At 42.4% G+C, this 22,384-nt stretch overlaps 1 long non-coding RNA gene across 1 annotated transcript in view, besides 1 other annotated feature; it reads right to left on the reverse strand.

Annotated features, from left to right (window-relative positions):
- The window catches only part of LINC02652 (long intergenic non-protein coding RNA 2652), a 62,806-nt gene extending 51,545 nt beyond the window's left edge, over positions 1-11,261 (reverse strand). Inside the window, exon 1 of the long non-coding RNA NR_134496.1 lies at positions 11,169-11,261. This is a non-coding gene — a long non-coding RNA (long intergenic non-protein coding RNA 2652). The remainder of the gene's footprint in view (positions 1-11,168) is intronic.
- Positions 8,610-9,179: an enhancer, noted in NCBI's record as "NANOG hESC enhancer chr10:28782091-28782660 (GRCh37/hg19 assembly coordinates)". NCBI's record gives its function as "activates a minimal SCP1, AML or CMV promoter by ChIP-STARR-seq in naive H9 embryonic stem cells {active_cell/tissue: H9 hESC(naive)}" and the evidence as "EXISTENCE:reporter gene assay evidence [ECO:0000049][PMID:30033119]".
- Positions 11,262-22,384: the final 11,123 nt, after the last annotated feature.

Here is a 22,384-nt window from a genome sequence, read left to right on the forward strand (position 1 = left end):
AATTCAAAATGAGATTTGGGTGGGGACACAGCTAAACCATATCAGGGGTGCTGAACCCCACGCAGTTGAAAATCCATATATAACTTTTGACTCCTCCAAACTTAGCTACTAATAGCCTGCTGTTAACCAGGAGTCTTATCAATAACATAAACAGGCAATTATTAATATATATTTTGTATGTTGGTTCTGCATATTATAGACAGTATTCTTACAATAAAGTAAGCTAGATAAAATAAATGTTATTAAGAAAGTCATAAGGAAGAGAAAATATAGTTACTATTCATTAAATGGAAGTGGATCATCATAAAAGTCTTCATCCTCGTCATCTTCATGTTGAGTAGGCTAGGGAGGATGGGGAAGAGGAGGGGTTGGTCTTGCTGTCTCAGGGGTGGCAGAGGTGGAAAAAGTCCATGTATAAGTGGATCTTGCAGTTCAAACCCATGTTTTTCAAGGGTCAACTGTAGTTATTTGAGTCTCAAGGCCAGCATTTGTTTCTCTGCAGCAAACACAAGTGTTGGGCCACGAAAAGTAGGGAAAAGATTTTAAAAAGAGGTAGCAAGAACTGCTTTGCTCTATTCTGTTCCTTTTCTTTTTTTTATCTTATTTTTATTTCAATTTGTCTCCTTTACTTTATTTATGGAAGCATAACCTCTGGTTTCTATTTTCTGTTTGTCTATGCCTTGTTTGTCTAATCATTTAGCATATAAATCACACATTTTTCTGTGTTGTCGATATATTTCAGAATCTGATTCAATTTAAGAACACTCTCCTTGGAAAATCACAGCTATACTATACTTAGAATTTCAAATTAAGTAATTTCTTTAAGAATCAGATATTCTTTCCTCAACTAAAAGTCTTCAGTTCACTTTCCCTGATGTATTCCTCTGAAATTCAGTCGCCCCTTAAAAATCTGACTCTGGCATTTTTTTTAGGTCTTTTCAATAACAGGTTCTTGATGTTGACTCAGAAATCTTTATTAAATATGAGGCTAAGGTGGTGGAAAGAGCATGGACTTTGGGATAACCCATACTTGGATTAAAGACGTACTGGCTTTAATGCTTATTAGCTATGTGACAAAGACAGATAAAATCTATTAAGCGTCTATTGCCTCCTCAATTAATTGCTTCTCTTCTACGGACAAGTAAGAAATAGAGGAAGGATGTTAAGACTAGCAGTTTTGGCCTGTGGCTGTATCCAGCAGTCTTTTTAGAATGGATAAGCTTTTAGCACTCGATGTCACCAGTATAAAACTTGATGGAACTCCAAGACAACCAAAAATTTAAAAATTAGTATTATCTCATAAGCAAAACAGAAATTCAAATCATAAATATTATGAATTAGCGTTAGGAGATTGAACTGATGCCTCCAAAGGATTACTTCTTCTTTTCCATCTTTTTCTTTTGAGAGATCCGTTTACACGGCTTACTGATTTTTTTTGTGCATATTTTTATTTCTTCCTATCATTGCAGTACTTGCTCTCTATGCTTTCCTTTCTCTCTCATTACTTTAAAATTCCTTTTAAAATAGAAGAAAACTGGCCAGACATGATGGCTCAAGCCTGTAATCCCAGCCCTTTGAGAGGGCGAGATGGAAGCATCACTTGAGGCTGGGGGTTCAAGACCAGCCTAAGCAACATAGGGACCCTGCCTCTACAAAAAAAAAAAAAAAAATTGTTCTAAAGTAGCCAGATGTGGTGGCACACACCTGTCCACCCAGCTACTCAGGAGGCTCAGGTGGAAGGAACACTTGAGCCTGGGAGGTGGAGACTGCAGTGAGCTATGATTGCGCCACCGCACTCCAGTCTGGGAGATGCAGGGAGACCCTGTCTAGTTTTTTGTTTGTTTGTTTGTTTGTTTGTTTGTTTTGAGACAGAATCTGGTTCTGTCACCAGGCTGGAGTGCAGTGGTGTGATCTCGGCTCACTGCAACCTCCACCTCCTGGGTTCAAGCGATTCTCCTGCCTCAGCCTCCCAAGTAGCTGGGACTACAGATGTATGCCACCATGCCCAGCTAATTTTTGTATTTTTAGTAGAGACGGGGTTTCACCATGTTGGCCAGGATGGTCTTGATCTCTTGACCTCGAGATCTATCTGCCTCGGCCTCCTAAAGTGCTGGGATTACAGGTGTGAGCCACCGCGCCCAGCCGAGGCCCTGTCTTAAATAAATAAATAGAAGAAAACCTTCTGACTTCAACACTATATCATTTATCTCATCAAAGGTCTTTCAGGTCCTCTCAATTTCTTATCTGTCTAAGAAAATAGAAAAGAATCTCAACTCCCATTCGGCTCTTCCTCACTGACTCAGTCCAACTACTTTCCCACTGTATACACAGAAAGCCCTACTTCATTCTAGTCAGACTAAAATGACTGGTAGTGATCTGTCATTATTCAATGCTCAAAGCCAAAGATTTCAAATAAAATATAAAGTTAGAAGATTCTTCTGTAAATACAAACAAGTCACAGAACTAAACTGACCCAATAATCCCATAGAGAGTTTTGGGTTTTTTGTTTTGTTTTCTTTTTTTTTTTTGATAAACAAAAATTGACCCTTCTGGTCTTAAACGTTGAAACTTACATTTGTTTTATGTGAGTTCCTTCCTTAAGAAATCAACTTCAGGCCTCTCAAAAAAAAAAAAAAGAAAAAGAAATTAAACTCACCAGACAACCACATCCAATGACATGTGGACCCCTAATTTGTCGTGATTGTTTCCTAGCCCCTCCCTACTTCCTGTTTTCTTACACATTGTTACATTTCCTCTCTGCTATATAAACCCCTACTTTTAGTCATCAGGGAGATGGATTTGAGAATGAGCTCCCATCTCCTTGACTGCAGCACCCGATTAAAGCCTTTCTTGGCCCAGCGCGGTGGCTCACACCTGTAATCCCAGCACTTTGGGAGGCTGAGGCAAGCGGATCATGAGGTCAGGAGATTGAGACCATCCTGGCTAACATGTTGAAACCCCGTCTCTACTAAAAATACAAAAAATTAGCCGGGCGTGGTGGCGGGCGCCTGTGGTCCCAGCTACTGGGGAGGCTGAGGCAGGAGAATAGTGTGAACCCAGGAGGTGGAGCTTGCAGTGAGCTGAGATCGCACCACTGCACTCCAGACTGGGAGAGAGAGCGAGACTCTGTCTCAAAAAATAAATAAATAAATAAATAAACAAAATTTTTTTTAAAAAACCTTTCTCCCTTGGCAATATTCATTGTGTCAGTGATTGGCTTTCTGTGTGACCAGCAGGACCTAGAGAGAATCCCTGGTGCTTCCGTAGCAGAACCTGTAACATATTCCAATACGCGTGTTTACAAAGCTCAACTCTGAAAGAAAACTTCAAAGGGAAATATGAATACATTCTCTTGTCCTGACATAAAGGATTGATCATGGTTTTTAGGTAGTTCTGCCTTATTCTTCTATTTACCTTTGTGAGTTTAATGCAAATCATTCCAGAATGTCAGAAGGTGGTATCTATTTTTGATATTGCTTCTCCAAAATGACATTAGAAAAACATGGTGTAGGTGGGGATTCTTGACAGCCATATTCCATTAAAAGGGTGTTGATAAGAGTATTCCATTATCAGGGTCAATTGGCTACAAGGGGAGAGAAAAAAAAAAGGCCAGGGGGAATTATAGTTCCAGAAAAGTCACCCCTTCCTCACATTGGCCCATATTTTTGGGTTATCACAAAAGGAAAGTAAATAGGACTTAAGTGTGAGAAAGGGAAAAGATTTGTTTGGGTGACATCTGAGGGAAGGTGTAAGACTGGGAGAGCTGGGTGTGATGGCTGCGCCTGTAGTCCTGGGTACTTGGGAGGTTGAGGCCAGAGGATTGCTTTGGCCCAGGAGTTTTGGACCAGCCTGGGCAATGTAGTGAGACCCCATATTTTAAAATATATATTAAAAAAGAAAAAGACTGGGGCTGGGTGTGGTGGTTCACGCCTGTAATCCCAGCACTTTGGGAGGCCGAGGCAGGTGGATCATGAGGTCAGGAATTCAAGACCAGCCTGGCCAAGATGGTGAAACCCTGTCTCTACCAAAAATACAAAAATTAGCTGGGTGTGGTTGTGGCCGCCTGTAATCCCAGCTACTCAGGAGGCTGAGGCAGAGAATTGCTTGAACCCAGGAGGTGGAGGTTGCAGTGAGCTGAGATCGTGCCACTGCACTCCAGCCTGGGTGACAGAGCAAGACTCTGTCAGAAAGAAAGAAAGAGAGAGAGAAAGAAAAAAGAAAGAAAGAAAGAGAGAGGGAGGAAGAAAGAAAGAAGGAAAGAAAGAGAAAGAAAGAAAGAAAGAAAGAAAGAAAGAAAGAAAGAAAGAAAGAAAGAAAGAAAGAAAGAAAGAAAGAAAGAAGGAAAGAAAGAAAGAGAGAGAGACTGGAAGAGGTGTGAATGCAGGCATGTGGCTGGGTCTTCGTTCCAGCTGGAAAGCCAACTCTTCCCCTGCTCAAGCGTGAGAGGTCGAGTGTCAGCTGAGTTGTCATTGGAAAGTTAGAATAATGGAAGAGACTCAGAGGTGGTGCAGGGGATTATGAACTTCTTTCTCTACTCTTCTTTCTCTGACTGCTATGATCAGAGCTTGCCTGGTGACCATGGACCAGTCTCAGGGTGCAGAGGCTTTGCCTGCACCACAGAGATGACCTTGCCACAGGTCATGTGCGTTCTCCACTTTCAGACACAGAATTTGGTGTGCTCTTCTTGCAAAAGGGCATGCCGGCTGTAGTGAACACTGTAATGTACCACCCAGGTTCCCCTTCAGGAATGAAGGCCTCAGTCCCAGAGCTGTGGGAGGTTCTGCCAGGAGACAGCTGTCATTTTCGGAATTGCCTCAGCTGAAAAACCTTACCCACGGTCATTCGCCCTTCCCAGGGTGGCCCATGTCCAGTGACTAATTGACACAGCCTCTCACTCAACTGCGACAGCTCTGGAAGGCCTTCCTGGGTTCAGAGCTCTCTGTGATTACAGCATTTGTCAAAACTCCATCCGAGCCCAACTTCTCCCTTTGCCTAATCCTCCCTGTCCTCTCTCCTTCCTTCTCAAGGTAAGCTCCCAGGAACACTCCTTTAAAAAAATATTTTAAAAAAAATTGTATGGGTACATAGCAGGTGTACAGGTGCATATATTTATGGGGTATATGAGCTGTATTGATACAGGCGTGAAATGCATAGTAATCATATCATGGAGAATGGGGAATCGGTCCCCTCAAGCATTTATCCTTTGTGTTACAAATAATACAGTTATACTCTTTTAGTTTATTTATTTATTTTTTTTGGAGACAGAGTCTCGCTCTGTAGCCCAGGCTGGAGTGCAGTGGTGCAATCTCGGCTCACTGCAAACTCCGCCTCCCGGGTTCACGCCATTCTCCTGCCTCAGCCTCCCGAGTGGCTGGGACTACAGGCGCCCGCCACCAGGCCCGGCTAATTTTTTTTTTTTTTTTTGTATTTTTTTAGTAGAGACCGGGTTTCACTGTGTTAGCCAGGATGGTCTCGATCTCCTGACCTTGTGATCTGCCCGCCTCGGCCTCCCAAAGTGCTGGGATTACAGGCGTGAGCCACCACGCCCGGCCTCTTTTAGTTATTTTAAAATGTACAATTAAGTTGTTATTGACTATAGTCACCCTGTTGTGCTATCAAATTATAGGTCTTATTCATTGTTGCTAACTATTTTTTGAACTCATTAAACATCTCCACCTCCCCCCGGCCCCCTCACTAACCTTCCCAGCCTCTAGTAACTATCCTTCTACTCTCTATGTCCATGAGTTCAATTGTTTTGATTTTTAGATCCCACAAATGAGTGAGAACATGTCATGTTTGTCTTTCTGTGCCTGGCTTATTTCACTTAACATAATGATCTTCAGTTCCATCCATGTTGTTGCAAATGACAGGATCTCATGCTTTTTTATAGCTGAATAGTACTCCATTGTGTATATGTGCCATGTTTTCTTTATCCATTCATATGTTTATGGACACTTAGGTTGCTTTCAAATCCTGGCTATTGTGAGCAGTGCTGCAACAAACAAGAGAGTGCAGATACCTCTTCAATATACTAATTTCGTTTCTTTGGGGTATATAACAGCAGTGGGATTGCTGAGTCATATGGTAGCTCTATTTTTAATTTTTTGAGGAACCTCCAAACTGTTCTCCATAGTGGTCAGGAACACTCCTTAATAAAGATCCTGCCCACTAGTTTCCATCTCAGATACTGCTTCCTGGGGCAACCCAACCTTAATATTCATATTTGCCTTACTATGCTGACAACAATTGCATCCACTTTCAGAAAACTGTCTTCGATATGGTACAATTTCTTGAGAGACTTCTGATTGTTGACTGTTAATAAGGAGCTAGTGTGATAAAATAAATAATTAAACTGGTAATTATTGTTGACTTTCATTTTGAAAATGACAATCTTTAAAAAATGGAAGACTTAGATATACAGGAAAGTGAACTTGGAGTCCAAGGGGCTATGTCAGTTACACAGCACAAGCCTCTCACTGGCCAAGCAAGAAGCGATGTCAGGGAACAACCCTGGTCCTTTCAGCGCCAGTTCACTGCTGGTAAATGTTAAATATTTTGTTGGTACTTAGTTTAGCTCCTATTTGCTCCTACACTAGAGTGGGAAAATACACATGAGCAAACTCAAATGAAACTACAACTGCCCCACCCCTCCCACAAAGACAAAAGGAAAAACCTCCCAACTCATAGGCACTTGTGTTTGTGTAGGACTGGAAGGGAGGAGGAGAAATTGTGCAGTTACTCAGCAGTGAAGGTAATGTTGATGGTGGAACTGCTAGTGACCACCAGAAATGCAAAGAAGAATGTCAACTCCCTCAGCCTCAATAGAGAGAGGGAGGGAGGCAGGGAGAGGAAAGGGGAGGGAGAATGAAGAGATTCTGAAAGAAAAATGAATTGGCCAGGTGCAGTGGCTCACACCTGTAACCCCAGCACTTTAGGAGGCCAAGGCAGGTGGATCACTTGAGGTCAGGAATTGAAGACCAGCCTGGCCAACATAGTGAAACCCCATCTCTACTAAAAATACAAAAATTAACTAGGCATGGTGGTGGGTGCCTGTAATCCCAGCTACTGAGGAGGCTGAGGCAGGAGAATCGCTTGAACCTGGGAGGTGGAGGTTGCAGTGAGCCGAGATCACGCCACTGTACTCCAGCCTGGGTGACAGAGCCAGATTCAGTCTCAAACAAAAAAAGAAAAAGAGAAGAAAGAAAGAAAAATGACCTGAGAAAAGTATGTAATACTAGGAAGCCCCTGATACACAGAAATCCCAGTTTTGAGGCCGGGCGCGGTGGCTCACGCCTATAATCCCAGCACTTTGGGAGGCTGAGGGGGGTGGATCACGAGGTCAGGAAATCGAGACCATCCTGGCTAACATGGTGAAACCCTGTCTCTACTAAAAAAAAAATACAAAATTTAGTCGGGTGTGGTGGTGGGCACCTGTAGTCCCAGCTACTGCGGAGGCTGAGGCGGAGAATGGCGTGAACCTGGGAGTCAGAGCTTGCAGTGAGCCGAGATCGCGCCACTGCACTCCAGCCTGGGTGACAGAGCAAGACTACGTCTCAAAAAAAAGAGAAATCCCAGTTTTGGTAAAAATAGGCTGTGATTTATGTGCAATTCTTTTGATAAAATTCTGTGGTCTCCTGGAGGAGCCATAACCACAGACATGACGAATAACAAATAAAACAAATAAAAAGCAAGAGAGAAGGTGCTGATCTTTTTTTTTTTTTTTTTTTAAGTTTATTCTCCGGCTGGTTTGTTTCCCCAGAAAGCAGCTGTTTAAAATTGAGAAATAGTTACAACTCTTCTGTAATACACTCTGGGGAAAGAGAAGAGGAAGGAAAGCAAATACAATATTACAAAAAAGCCTGTGCGGTGTTAGCTTAAATTAGAAGCGGTTTGAGGGTTCATTCTCTCATCAGAAAGGAAAAAGAAACACAGGAAGAAACAGATGAATACATCTGAGAGGAAAAAAATTCAATTATCATTATACACAGGAAAAATTAAGCTACTTAAGAGAATTATTAACAGTGCGTATGTTAGCAAATTGCTTTGGGAGGAAGTGGAAAATGCTCTTTTGAGCATTCTCTACTTGATTATGATCTTGCATAGAATTTTGAGGGCATTGTAAAACAACAAGTAGATGCTTATTATCTGCCACACCCGCTCTGACCAGCTCTATAACCCGTCCCATTCCATTCTGTGACTGAGAGGCCCAGGGTGTTAGTGCATAGCGATCACAGCGGAATCCATACAGAAGCCTCTGGAGGCAGGGCCCAGTGGCTCACGCCTGTAATCTCAACACATTGTAAGGCTGAGGCAGGAGAATCACTTGAGGCCAGGAGTTCGAGACCAGCCTGGGCAACACAGCGAGACCCCATCTCTACAAACAATTTTAAAAATTAGCTAGGCATGTGGTGGCCTGAATCTGCAGTCCCAGCTACTTGGGAGGTTCAGGTGGGAGGATTGCTTGAGCCCAGGAGTTTGAGGCTGCAGTGAGCTAGGATTGTGTCACTGCACTCCAGCCTGGGTGACAGAGCAAGAATCTATCTCTAAAATAAATACATAAATAAATAAGAAGCCTCTGTAATCTCTCTATACACGCTCTATATACACGTTCTAATGCTCTCTATACACGCTCAAGCAATTCAGCAAATATGCAGGTTGCAAATTGTGTCACCAGCTCTGTATGTTGTGGGGCTACAATTTCAAATACAGCCCTTTAGGGACTTATTTTTTATTTTGAATTATTAAAGATAGAATCCTGTTTTTAAAGAATATGTTGCATGGATACCAATCTCTTTATCAATATTTTATTCTCTGTAGTAAAGCAATTCAGATTTCAAGACCCCATGTGTGAGCAGATCAATGCTAAGCAGTAATGACAATGGAAGGATAAATACTGCCATTGTCAGCCGGGCGTGGTGGCTCACACCTGTAATCCTAGCACTCTGGGAGGCTGAGGTGGATGGATCACTTGAGCTCGGGAGTTTGAGAGCAGCCTGGCCAGCATGGTGAAACCCCGTATCTACTAAAAACACAAAAATTAGCCAGATGAGGTGGTGGGCGCCTGTAATCCCAGCTATTTGGGAGGTTGAGGCAGGAGAATGGCTTGAACCCAGGAGGCACAGGTTGCAGTGAGCTAAGATCATGCCGCTGCACTCCAGCCTGAGCGACAGAGACTCTGTCTCAAAAAAATAAACAAAACAAAACAACACAAAAAAACCTGTCCTTACCTTCTAGATAAGTCTTGGCATGAAGTCTATCCACTGAAGTAGTTTGTGACAAGTACTTGAAGCAAGTAGTTTGTGCATTTTTCTACATTTATGCTAATTATGTCTGTTTCAGAGTGGTAGTCTTTCAAAACAATATGATGTTTTTAAAGATATATCCACAAATCCTCTGATACTGCCTCCCTTAAGAGAAGAAACTTAATTCCTCTCTCTTTGTGTGAGAAAAAAAAAATCCAGGCACAGTGACTCATACCCGTAATCTCAGCACTTTGGGAGGCTGAGGCAGGAGGATCACTTCGGGCCAGGAGTCAGAGACCAGCCTGGGTAACATAGGGAGACCTCATCTCTACCAAAAATAAGATAAAAATTAGCTGGGCATGGTGGCATCCACCTGTGGTACCAGCTACTTGGGAGGCTGAGGTGGGAGGATCACTTGAGCCTGGAACGTTGAGACAGCAGTGAGCTGAGATCGCGCCACTGCACTCCAGCCTGGGTGACAGAGTGAGACCCTGGCTGAAAAAAAAGAAAAAGAAGAAAAAGACTGTAGATGTATCTATTTTGCTCTCTGTGAATGGGGCTCCTTAGTGTCACTTCTCTTCACTGTCTGACCATCTCTTCTGTCCTTCAGTTTCCACTTTAAATGCCTTTCCATCTGCCAAGCAGTCGGAGGTGTCCTTACCATACTTCCCAAGTCAGTTCACATCTCAGTTTTAGGGCTTGTATTGTGTCATTAGTCTGTTTCCAAGCCTATCTTCTCCATAGACTTGAGTTTCTTGAGGATAACCTCTGTTATCTTCAGGGCCCACCAGTGCTGGTCATACAGTGAGCTCTCCATGGACTTCATTGTGTGCATGGGTGGATAGATAATGAGGTGACAACCTGCCTCTCAGAGCCTTAACCACCCCCAGTTAAGCCATGAAACAAGGCTATGGTTTCCAGTTTGCACGACCTCCTCCCTAAGTTCATTGCCCTGGGCCTAGAATGAGGAGAATTGGCTGGTGCCACTTCTTTCCTTTTGGCTTTCCAATGGTTTTCTTCCAAGCTATAAGGCCTTGCTCTAGAGATTTTAAAGTATTAAGAACTGGAATACTGTTCTACATGTTTAGGTCAACAGAGTCAGTTGATCCATAGAATGCACATATTGGGTTTTTGTTTTTGTTTTTGTTTTTGTTTTTCAGCATTAGGTCTTCCCCCTTCTAAAGAATGATATGTGCCCCCGAACTCAGAAGTGATGTTTGATCCTAAATTACACATGCAAAACAAATTAGTTAAATAATGATTTAGTCCAGGTTCTCTGACAAGCAAATGCCAAAAAAGGATTAGCTGGATAAGAGATTAATTGGCGAAAATACTGGGGCACTGGGGAGGGATAATGAGAAGGAAACAAGAGGGTGATAGGAGAGCCATCAGATCATGACACACGTCTGCCCCCTGGGAAGACAGAGGGAAGGAGGGAAAGAAGGAAGGAAGGAAGGAAGGAAGTGAGGGAGGGAGGAAGGAAGAGAGAAGGGAGAGGAGGGAGGAGAAGGGAAGGAAGGAAGAATGGAAGAAACTGGAGACGGAAAGAGGAAAAGAGAAAAAGAGGGAGGGAGAAAGAAAGGAAGGAAGGAAGGGAGGGAGGGAGGGAGGAAGGAGGAAAGACAGGCCATAGACTGCCTTGTAGTTCTCAGAAAGTTTCAGCAAGGTCAAAAGGGAGTCAGTGAACCTAAGTTGCCCATTAGAGGAGCCCCTGCCTCCCAGGAAGGGGCCTCCTTGATATCCCTGCCATACTCAGTCACTGACTGGGAGCAGCCCACAGGAAGTGTGGCCTCAATCCTGGGCACACCAGCAGCTAGGGCTGGAAATAAATTATGCTTCCTGCAGTAGGAGATCTGAAAGTTGTATTCTCATGCTACTGCAGACAACAATTTGTATAACTCAGAGTTAACTACTCTCTGATCTTACCTGAAACAGTGGAGTGATCCAAGGCAAGTTTGGGGTTTAGTCCTCAATCATCCACCTGGGCCTTGTTCTCAATTCCACTAACTAAACAGAGGGTTGTAGTCACAGCATCCTAAATGAAGATTGAGAAGAAGGATCCACATTTTGCTAAAAATGTTAAGCTATAGCTCTGCAGCAAAATAATTCCTGCTTTCATTTCAAAAACAATAGATGTATTACTTTTCTTCTGCTTCTGCAAGACACCGATTCGAGAGGAGTGTTGGATGCCTGCAAACAGGCAAAAACAAAACAAAACAAAAAACAAAACAAAAAACCCCCCAGGTATCCAAAATCTAGTGACTGTTAGTCCAAAGTCTTACTTTTTTTTTATAGACTGATTTATGGATCAAGAAATCTTCAATTTGCCTTTGCTACCAAATGAGGCCACCTTATCATGGGTCATCTTTACCTCCATGCCCTAGCCCTGCTAGGGGACAGTGTCTCACCTCGACTAACAGGCGTTCAGTTACGCTGACATCAACTAGATTAAGAGAGTTGGCTCTTGCCCCAGTGAGTTGACTGTTTAGGAAGCCAGTGTTTGCAAGAGGCCTTCTTTGCAGAACTTGCTCTGCTAAATCTCTCATTTGGGGAACATTTGTAAACATTTATTATTTACTTTTATTTTTAGAGGCAGGGTCTCACTTTGTTGTCCAGGGTGATCTTGAACTTCTGGCCTCAAGCGATCCTTTTGCCTCAGCCTCCCAAAGTGCTGGGATTATAGGGGTGAGCCACTATCTTGGCCCTTCATCTGGGGAACCTTTTCAAAATGTCCATATAAACAGTGGTTGGATCTGGTGCAGACAAGCAGTCTTTGGAGGTGATGAAATCTGGTCTTGCATTCTAGCTCTACCACATTTTTGTCAACAAAGGCAGGTGACTGGTAGATGTCCAAATGTCAGACCTTTGGAAGAGCTCCAGAAGAAAGGGGAGATAATGCCAGAAAGGTCTAAAAGTAGCTGTTGGAATTTGGTCACAGAAAGTGACGTGCAGAGGAGCAACTCATTCACTAGGCTAGATGGAATTGGGGAGATAGAGGAGAGTCCAATTTGCAGGGAACGGGGTCAGTGAGGCATAGGAAGAAAAGCCACAGTCAGGTTTCTGATGTACCAAGGTGGAAGGCAAGGACTCAGGCACAGAAGTCTAAATAAGGAATCAACTTCCTGGATATACTGGGGAAACAGGATCAGATGACCCAGTGTTGGGCTGAAGATCTTGTTTCTTATCCACCACATACAGAGGATGTGAATTATTCCAGAGTCTGAGCTGGAACTTTCCTACTTTACAGATAGGGTTAAGCAACCCTAGATGCAAACTCCCAGGGTTCAGAATTAGGTAGACCACAATCTCCAGAAGCTGGATGTTTACATGTTCAAACTTTAAGATGATAATTTCTATAATAACAATAAATGATAGAAATAGAAAGTTCACAAATGTCAATTTACTTGAAAGTATAAGAGATATTTTAAAAAGAAATAATCCAATCAGGGCTGGGTGTGGTGGCTTACGCCTATAATCCCAGCACTTTGACAGGTCGAAGCAAGTGGATTGCTTGAGGACAGAAGTTCAAGATCATCCTGGGCAACATAGTGAGACCCCCGTCTCTACAAAAATTTTTTAAAAAATAGCTAGGTGTAGTGGTGCACACCTGTAGTACCAGCTACTCAGGAGGCTGAGATAGGAGGCTCGCTTGAGCCCTGGAGTTTGAGGCTGCAGTAAGCTATGATTGCATCACTGCACTCCAGCTTGGGCAATAGAGTGAGATCCTGATGAAAGAAAGAAAGAGAAAGAGAGAGAGAGAAAGAGAGACAGAGAGAGAGAAAGAGAGAGAGAAAGAAAGAAAGAACGAAAGAAAGAAAGAAAGAGAAATAAAAAGAAAGAAAAGAAAGAAAGAAAGAAGAAAGAGATAGAAAAGGAAGGAAGAAGGAGAGAGAGAGAAAGAGAGGGAGGAAGGGAAGGAAAGAAGGAAGGAGGGAAGGAAGGAGGAAGGGAAGGAAGGAAGGAAGGAAGGAAGGAAGGAAGGAAGGAAGGAAGGAAGAAAAAGACAGATAACACATTGGGATTCCATTATCCAAAAGGGACTAAAATAGGATCATGGAATAAATACAAATCAGCCTGTACTCATGTGTTATCAATAGGGCTGAGAAATTCTCAGTCTTCATTACCTTTTGACAACTGATGAGAGTGAACAGTCCTCTAAGATTAATGATGCACTGGCTGCCACTGCCATGCACAATCTAATCACTAAGTTAATGCTTTACCAAGAGGAATACTGCATATTTTTTTAAAGTACATATTAGAAAAAGAAAGCAGATTTGGAGAGTAAGATTCTGCTATCTTATTTCTTTTTCTTTTTTTTAATAGAGGGAGTTTCACTCTTGTTGCCCAGGCTGAAGTGCAATGGCGTGATCTCAGCTCACTGCAACCTCTGCCTCCTAGGTTCAAGTGATTCTCCTGCCTCAGCCTCCCGAGTAGCTGGGGTGACAGGCATGTGCCACCACACCTGGCTAATTTTGTATTTTTAGTAGAGACAGGATTTCTCCATGTTGGTCAGGCTGGTCTCGAACTCCCGACCTCAGGTGATCCACCCGCCTCAGCCTCCCCAAGTGCTGAGATTACAGGCGTGAGCCACCGCACCCATCATGTTTTGTTTTGTTTTGTTTTGAGACATGATCTCACTCTGTCGCCCAGTCTGATGTACAGTGGTGTGATTACAGCTCACTGTGGCCTCAGCCTCCCAGGCTCAAACAATCCTCCCACCTCAGCCCCTCCAGTAGCTGGGAATACGGGTGCACCCCCATGCCTGGCTAGTTTTTACTTTGTTTTTGCTTTTGTTTTTGTTTTGTAGAGATGGGGTTTCGCCGTGTTGCCCAGGCTGGTCTCAAAGTCCTAGGCTCAAGTGATCCACCTGCCTCAGCCTCCCAGTCTTATTTCTTTTCAGGTACTTAACACTCTATTTGGTAAATTTCATAGAAGCATTTCTGGATTATTTCTTTAAATGTATTTAATCCTCTAACAAGTTTCATAGGCAGGAGGTATTCTAGTCACATAAATATATAAGTTTAATGCTGTCTTTATTTTTCTTCAAGTTTGTTTTCCAAAAGTGTGGACAATTAGGTGCATCATGCAGCAATCCCATGGTTCTTCTGAAGGGAAACATAACCTTTTATTTCCCTTAAATACATAGGGGAAATTATTAAACAATTGTAGCTAAGACTAAGTCAAGGGAATTCAGGACTTAGGAGAATTACACTGCCTATGTGTTCCGTACTTTATACCTTTCTCCCTGCCATGTAAAAAAAAAAATTATGTGCAGAATAATCTGGCTAAAATAAGCAACTGAAGGAAGCATTGATGGGCAAACAAGATGGAGAAGAGAAAGAAGTTTTGAGAGACAAGTGAGTCAACAAGGCATGGCTTTGACGGAAGGATTCTGAGGCCACATTCCAGGTGGATTTTCTTTTTTTTTTTTAGATGGAGTCTCACTCTGTCACCCAGGCTGCAGTGCAGTGGCGCAGTCTTGGCTCGCTGCAGCCTCTGCCTCCCAGGTTCAAGCGATTCTCCTGCCTCAGCCTCCCGAGTAGCTGGGATTACGGGCACCCACCACCACGCCCGGCTAATTTTTGTATTTTTAGTAGAGACGAGGTTTCACCATGTTGGCCAGGCTGGTCTTGAACTCCTGACTTCAAGTGATCCTCCTGCCTCGGCCTCCCAAAGTGCTGGGATTACAGGTGTAAGCCACTGTGGCCACCCTCCAGGTGGATTTTATTTATACGTGTCTATCGTTGCCTGAAGTCCTTTCTTAGTAACATTTTACTACACCACATCTCTTTCCCTACTTACTGCCTTCGTGAGTCCAACTCTTGGCGTCTATAATAGTTTGGCCTCTATAGTCTTGCAGGTGATCATTTTGGTGTGATTTACTGAGAAGCAGCTCTGTGCACAAGCATTTTCTTTTCTGCTAAGTCTGGCCTGTTTCTAGGGTCCCCTCTTACTGCCTCCAATCACAAATCTCACTGATGGTTAAGACAATGAATTGTATTTTAATGAGGTAGGGATCAAGAAACCCTGTTTCTAGCTGTGTTATCTGTGACAAATCATTTATTCCTTGTGCTTCAGTTTCCTGTTTATTAAAATGAAGATATTGGACTAAGTATCATTCAGTTTTAAATTTTTGTCTCTAGATGTAATAGGTGTCCTTTATGAGTAAGGCAGGTGTTTGTTAGAGTTTGACATTGTAATGCCAAAGGTTCTTGCCTTAGCCATGCCAAAGGATTGGTGTGGCGGTAGCCTGTGACGAGAGAGACAGGGATCGGACCGAGAGAAAAAGAGCTGTAGACTTTATTGAGCAGAGTGACAGTACAAAGCTTCCACAGCGTGGAAGGGGTCCCGAGTGGGTAGCCAGTGTTAGATTTTTCATCACCTTTTAAACTCTTTAAGGCCGGAAATACGTGGGATGGGAAGATGTTACCAGAGCGAGAAACAAAGACAATTAATATGTCTCAGATCTTGCGAACCGGAATTGTAACTTAAGTTTTATCTACTTTATAACCTTGCAGCAGCATGGCAAAGGAGACAGGATCTCACAAGACCTTACAAATTGTATTTACAGGGAATTGGAATTGGGAGCATAGATAAGGTCTGCTGGTCACAGAAAAACGGGTTTTTTAACATTCCTTTTAGTTTCAGGGGAGGAGGAAGGGAGAGAGGGAGAGAGGACACAGGGAAGCTTACAGCAAAATTTTTAGTGTTCATAGCTTTCCTGGGGAAGAAAACACATGCACAAATTCTGATGTTAGGAATATTTTAAGCATATATCTTCAATATTATTCATCCAGGACCAAAGTAAGTCCTGATGCAGGAAATGAGTGAGTTTCACAGCTTTCTCAGCCCCTACGACCCAGGAAGCCCAGCTAGCATCTCTGCTCAGTATTTCCACTGAGAGCTAGGCTGATGAGAATAGTGCAGAACTGTGAGTACATTAAAAGAGCACAGCCGGGTTCAGTGGCTTATGCCTGTAATCCCAGCACTTTGGGAGGCCAAGGCAGGGAGATCACAAGGTCAAAAGATCGAGACCATCCTGGCCAACATGGTGAAACCCCGTCTCTACTAAAAATACAAAAATTAGCTGGGTGTGGTGGTGCGCACCTGTAGTCCCAACTATTCGGGAGGCTGAGGCAGGAGAATAGCTTGAACCCAGGAGGTGGAGGTTGCAGTGAGCTGAGATCGTGCCACTGCACTCCAGCCTGGGCGACAGAGCAAGACTCCATCTCAATTAAAAAAACAAAAAAAAAAGATCTAGCAACTGCTACTCATATAAAGAGAAGTAAAATGTGTTTGCTGGAAACTGATGCTTCCATTTTGAAGTGGGTGGGTAAGAATTCTTAATCATCGTGGATTCATTTAGACTCAATTCAGAGTTAATATATTTTAATTTTACACTTTCATTAGTTACTTTTGTTATTTATATGAGCCATTTATGAAATGAGTATCCAAAATCAGCTAACTTCTTCAGATCATTGTTTTGTGATAGCTAATAACTTTCTTTTTTTTTTTTTTGAGACGGAGTCTCGCTCTGTTGCCCAGGCTGGAGTGCAGTGGCACGATATCGGCTCACTGCAAGCTCCGCCTTCCATGTTCATGACATTGTCCTGCCTCAGCCTCCCGAGTAGCTGGGACTACAGGCGTCTGCCACCAAGCCCGGCTAATATTTTTGTATTTTTTTTTAGTAGAGACAGGGTTTCACCGTGTTAGCCAGGATGGTCTCTGTCTCCTGACCTCGTGATCCGCCGACCTTGGCCTCCTAAAGTGCTGGGATTGTAGGCGTGAGCCACCGCGCCCGGCCTTTTTTCATTATTTATTTAATCAAGCTATGAGTAGGAGTTTATATTAGTTATATTTCTTATGGAAGGTTTCTTAGAACGTTACCGCAACTTTTTTTTTCTTTTAACTTTTTTTTTTAGGTTCAGGGGTACATGTGCAGGTTTTGTTATATAGGTAAACTTGTTATATAGATAAACAGTACAAAAAAGTTGGTACAGCAACTTTTTTTTTTTCTGAGACGAAGTCTTGCTCTGTTGCCCAGGCTGGAGTGCAGTGGCACGATCTCGGCTCACTGCAAGCTCCGCCTCCCGGGTTCACGCCATTCTCCTGCCTCAGCCTCCTGAGTAGCTGGGACTACAGGCGCCCGCCACCACGCCCAGCTAATTTTTTTTTAATATTTTTAGTAGAGATGGGGTTTCACCGTGTTAGCCAGGATGGTCTCGATCTCCTGACCTCGTGATCCGCCTGCCTCGGCCTCCCAAAGTGCTGAGATTACAGGCGTGAGCCACCACGCCCTGCCAGTATGGTGTATTTTCAAAAGGAGATAATTTCTTCCCATATCTGAGGGTTTACCCATTTAAATTAGTTTAGCTACGAATAACAGTAAATGCAAAATTACAGTGGTTTATCAAAAAAGCAGATTACTTTCTCACTCACGTTAAAAATCTCTCTAGGGAGGTAGTAGTCTCTCTAGAGGTGACGCGCCGTCCCACGATGCCAGGAAACCGGGCTCTTATCTTTGGCTCTATCATCCTTAGCACATGGTTTCCACTCATAGTCTAAGGTGCGTATTCACGCTCCAGCTCTCACATTCACAATGTAGCCAGAAAGGAGAAAAGCAGGCGGGGCGCCGTGGCTCACGCCTGTAATCCCAGCACTTTAGGAGGCCGAGGCGGGTGGATCATGAGGTCAGGAGATAGAGACCATCCTGGCTAACACGGTGAAACCCCGTCTCTACTAAAAATACAAAAAATTAGCCAGGCGTGGTGGCTGGAGCCTGTAGTCCCAGCTACTCGCGAGCCTGAGGCAGGAGAATGGCGTGAACCCGGGAGGCGGAGCTTGCAGTGAGCCGAGATCGTGCCACTGCACTCCAGCCTGGGCGACAGAGCGAGTCTCCGTCTCAGAAAAAAAAAAAAAAAAAAAAAAAAAAGGAGAAAAGCAGAAGAACCTTTTCCCTTTAAGGATAGTTCCTGAAAATTCCACGCACCACTCCTGCTTATATCCAGCTGGACAGACATGGCCACGTCAAGTTACAAAGGAAGTGGAGAAATACAATCTTTTTCTGGACAGAGAGAGGCCCACTAAAAACTAGGGATTCTACAAAGAAAGAATGGAGAAAAAATATTGGGAGAAAGCCTCCTTTTGACAGAGCTTTTATATTTGTAGTGTTCCACAGGTAAATTTATTCACTTATATAAACGGGTCAATCTTCTTTCGAATATGAAAGTAACTTGCATATAGAAAAACATCCAAAATTTATTTTAGAATTTTGCAGATGAAATCTAGTTTTTCAAATGTTAATTTAAGATGGCCTGTCTTTTTTGATACAGGTAATGTATATTCCTTTTTCTGGAAGTATACTTTGTGATTAAAAAAAAAAAAAGAATCAAAGCCAGATGGAAAACAGCATTGTAAAAGGAAAGAATTCAGTACTACCGCACAGTTTTATACCACCTGGCAAGCAGACAACACTAATATGAATTTGGAACCCTGCCGATGGAGTCATATGCCCCTGCTGGGCTGGGCTGCTAGGACAAGCACCTGCCTATATGTGCCAAGTGTGCTCCCTGCTACGTGCTTTTAATGCAGTGGCCTAAAGGCACATAATGCAGGCCAAAGGTGGGCTTGAAAGAATACTCTCACAGAAGTCACATTATCCCAAAGTGATAACAAGGTTTGATTAATTAGGAAATACTGGACATTTATATGAGTGGAATTATCATATTTCCTCAACACTCTCTCTTTACAGACACTAATGCTTCATCAGCTCAACATAGCATCCATGTCCTCAAAACCTTCCATCACAGTTTTAAACATAAGACTCGGTAAACACAAACAAACAAACATCTTTCAAACATGCATATTCAGATACTATCTTCATAATTTGAATTCCTGCAAGATAGATCAATGGAGTCATGCAGGCTACAGATTAATCCAACGTAGCAACGAATTACTAGGCACCCAATTTTCATGCAGTATTTGAGGAAATATGATAATTCCACTCATATAAATGTCCAATATTTCCTAATTAATCAAATATTGTTATCACTTTGGGATGATGTGACTTCTGTGAGAGTATTCTTTCAAGCCTCAAACACTTATGTGAGACTTCTGTGAGAGTATTCTTTCAAGCCTCAGGACACTTACCGAGTCTTATGTTTACTATGATGGAAGGTTTTGAGGACGTGGATGCTGTGTTGAGCTGATGGAGCATTAGAGTCTGTAAAGAGAGAGTGTTGACAGGGGTAATGATTGCCAGCTGCAGGGTCCAGAGAAACCCTACATTAACAAGAGACAATTACAGAAAATATTAGAAACCTCTAGGATTCTACAACACACTCTATTATTAAGCAAATTTTGCTTTACCAAAGACCTCTAGATAGGTACCATTTCTCTAAAATTTAGGAGAATAAAGGGCCCCAAGAAACCACTGGCAGGCTTTCCTTCTGCTTCATTTCAAAGACAAATCGCTGAAGGATAATACAGAAGCCTCTGAGGCAATGATAAGCCATTAGAAGCCAAAGAGCTACATGTAGCTTACCTAGTGACACTATTCACTGGCAAAACAATTGCAAGAATAAGAAACCAAAGTAGAAGATCATTGTATTCACTGATTAATTTGTGTTTGACCTGAGAATTAATACTCCTGCTTCTATACTGGGGCTGCGGAAGTTGCATAGTGCTCCAGGATTTGGTCAAGAATGAAAGCTTCCTAGATACAGGTGGCATTTGGGACTGAAAAACAGCATATAGGACAGCAATGAATAAGGAGCAAGAGAACGCGCACGCAGAAGGAAAAGATTAAAGAGCTGCTCCCATTTCTTTTTTTTTTTTTTTTTTTTTGAGTCTTACTCTGTTACCCAGGCTGGAGTGCAGTGGCACAATCTCAGCTCACTGCAACCTCTGCTTCCCAGGTTCAAGGGATTCTCCTGCCTCGGCCTCCCAAGTAGCTGGGATTACAGGTATCTGCCACCACACCTGGATAACTTTTGTATTTTTAGTAGAGACGGGGTTTCACCATGTTGAGCAGGCTGGGCTTGAACTCCTGACCTCAGGTGATCCACCCACCTCGGCCTCCCAAAGTGCTGGGATTATAGGCGTGAGCCACCGCAGCCGGCTGTGCTTCCATTTCTAAACTATCTCTTTCTTGGAGAAATGTTGCTAGTTTATGCAGTTTCTAATATTATATATTAAATAACAACCACAGCCTGGCCAACATGGTGAAACCCCATCTCTACTAAAAATACAAAAATTAGCTGGGTGTGGCGGCATGCACCTGTAATCCCAGTCACCCGGGAGGCTGAGGCAGGAGAATCGCTTGAACTCGGGGGGTAGAGGTTGAAGTGAGCCGAGATCGTGCCACTGCACTCCAACCTGGGCAACAGAGTGAGACGCTCTCAAAAAATATTAAATAAATAAATAAGCAAAAATAAATATATAAATAACAACCAACCATTGACTCACAAGAAAACTGTGACTATAGTATCTTGGTAACAAACAGATAAAATTATGAAAATGTTTTGAAATATGAATCACCTTTCCTATTAAAAAAGTGCTTACCATTGTCTTAAGGTTTTGTACAGCACATGTACTGTTTTGTAAAAAGAAAGTCTGCACAGCAAAATGATTTGGATAAACCAAGGATCTGAATATGTAGGTCCTGGACAACTGTTGTTGTAGCACTGTAACTCCCTGGCCAAGCACGGTTGCATCACACATTAGTTGGATAACAGGTGCTTCTGTTTTGGGGTAACTTCCTGGCACAACAGAGCCCCACTGCTTCCTTTTTGGCTCCAGCCTGCTGTATTGTAATATTACCAGGGTTGCAAAAGAAAAGCCTAAAATGGAGACCTAAATGCAATGTTCTATCTGTCTAAATTTTTAATCTGTGAGTAAAAGAACAGATAACCATGCCATGCAAATTACATTAAATATTGTGGTTTGTGAGCAGGGATTGGTTAGTACCTTGAGGCCATCTGTGCTGTATGTCTCGTTATCTGTTTCACATGAGACATATTATATTACGATTCAGATCGTATTTTAAGTTACATGGATAATAGTTCCTAATGGTTTTTTTTAAAATTGTGGTTGAATATATATAACATAAAATTTACCAGTAAAACCATTTTTTTAATGAACAGTTCTGTGGCATTAAGTACATCCATGCTGTTGTGCAACCATCACCATCATCCACCTCCAAAACTTTCAAAATCATATCAAACAGAAACTCTGTACACATTAAATAAGAACTTCCTGCTCCCCTCTCCCTGCACCCCTGGCAACCACCATGCTACTTTCTGTCTCTATGAATTTGACTACTATAGGCACCTCACATAAGTGGAATCATACAATATTTGTCCTTTCATGATGACATTATTTCACTTAGAATAATAACTTCAGGTTTCATCCATGTTGTAGCATGTGTTCAAGCGATTCTCTTTTAAAATTTAAAAATTTACTTCTCTTTTAAGGCTGAATAATATTCCATTGTATGTATATACCACATTTGTTTATCCATTTATCCATCAACAGACACCTGGGTTGCTTCCACCTTTTGGCTTTTGAGAATAACTTTGCTATGAACATTGGTGTACAAACATCTGTTAGGGTTACTGCTTTCTTTTGGGTTTATACGCAGAAGTGGAAATGCTGGATCATATGGTAAATATATTTTTAAATTTTTGAGGAACTGCCAAACTGTTTTTCATAGGAGCTGCACCATTTTATATTCCAACCAGCAGTGCACAAGTGTTCCGGTTTCTTCATATCCTCACCAACACTTGTTATTTTCTGTTTTGTTTTTGTTTTATAATAGCCATCCTAATGAGTGTGAGGTGGTATCTCACTGTGGTTTTGACTTGCATTTCACTTGTGACACTGAGCATCTTTTTATGGGATTATTGGCCATTTGTATATCTTCTTTGGGAAAATGTCTATTCAAGTCCTTTGCTCATTTTTTAATTGTTTTTTTTTGTGTGTGTGTGTGGTTGAGTTGTAGAGAGTTCTTTATATATTCTGGGTAGCAATTCCTTATCAGATAGATGATCATAAAGTGTTTTTCTATTTTTTTTTTTTTTTTTTTTTTTTGAGACAGTCTCGCTCTGTCGCCCAGGCTGGAGTGCAGTGGCGTGATCTCGGCG

The sequence above is a fragment of the Homo sapiens genome, chromosome 10 (assembly GCF_000001405.40).
Source record: "Homo sapiens chromosome 10, GRCh38.p14 Primary Assembly".
Lineage (NCBI taxonomy): Eukaryota > Metazoa > Chordata > Mammalia > Primates > Hominidae > Homo > Homo sapiens.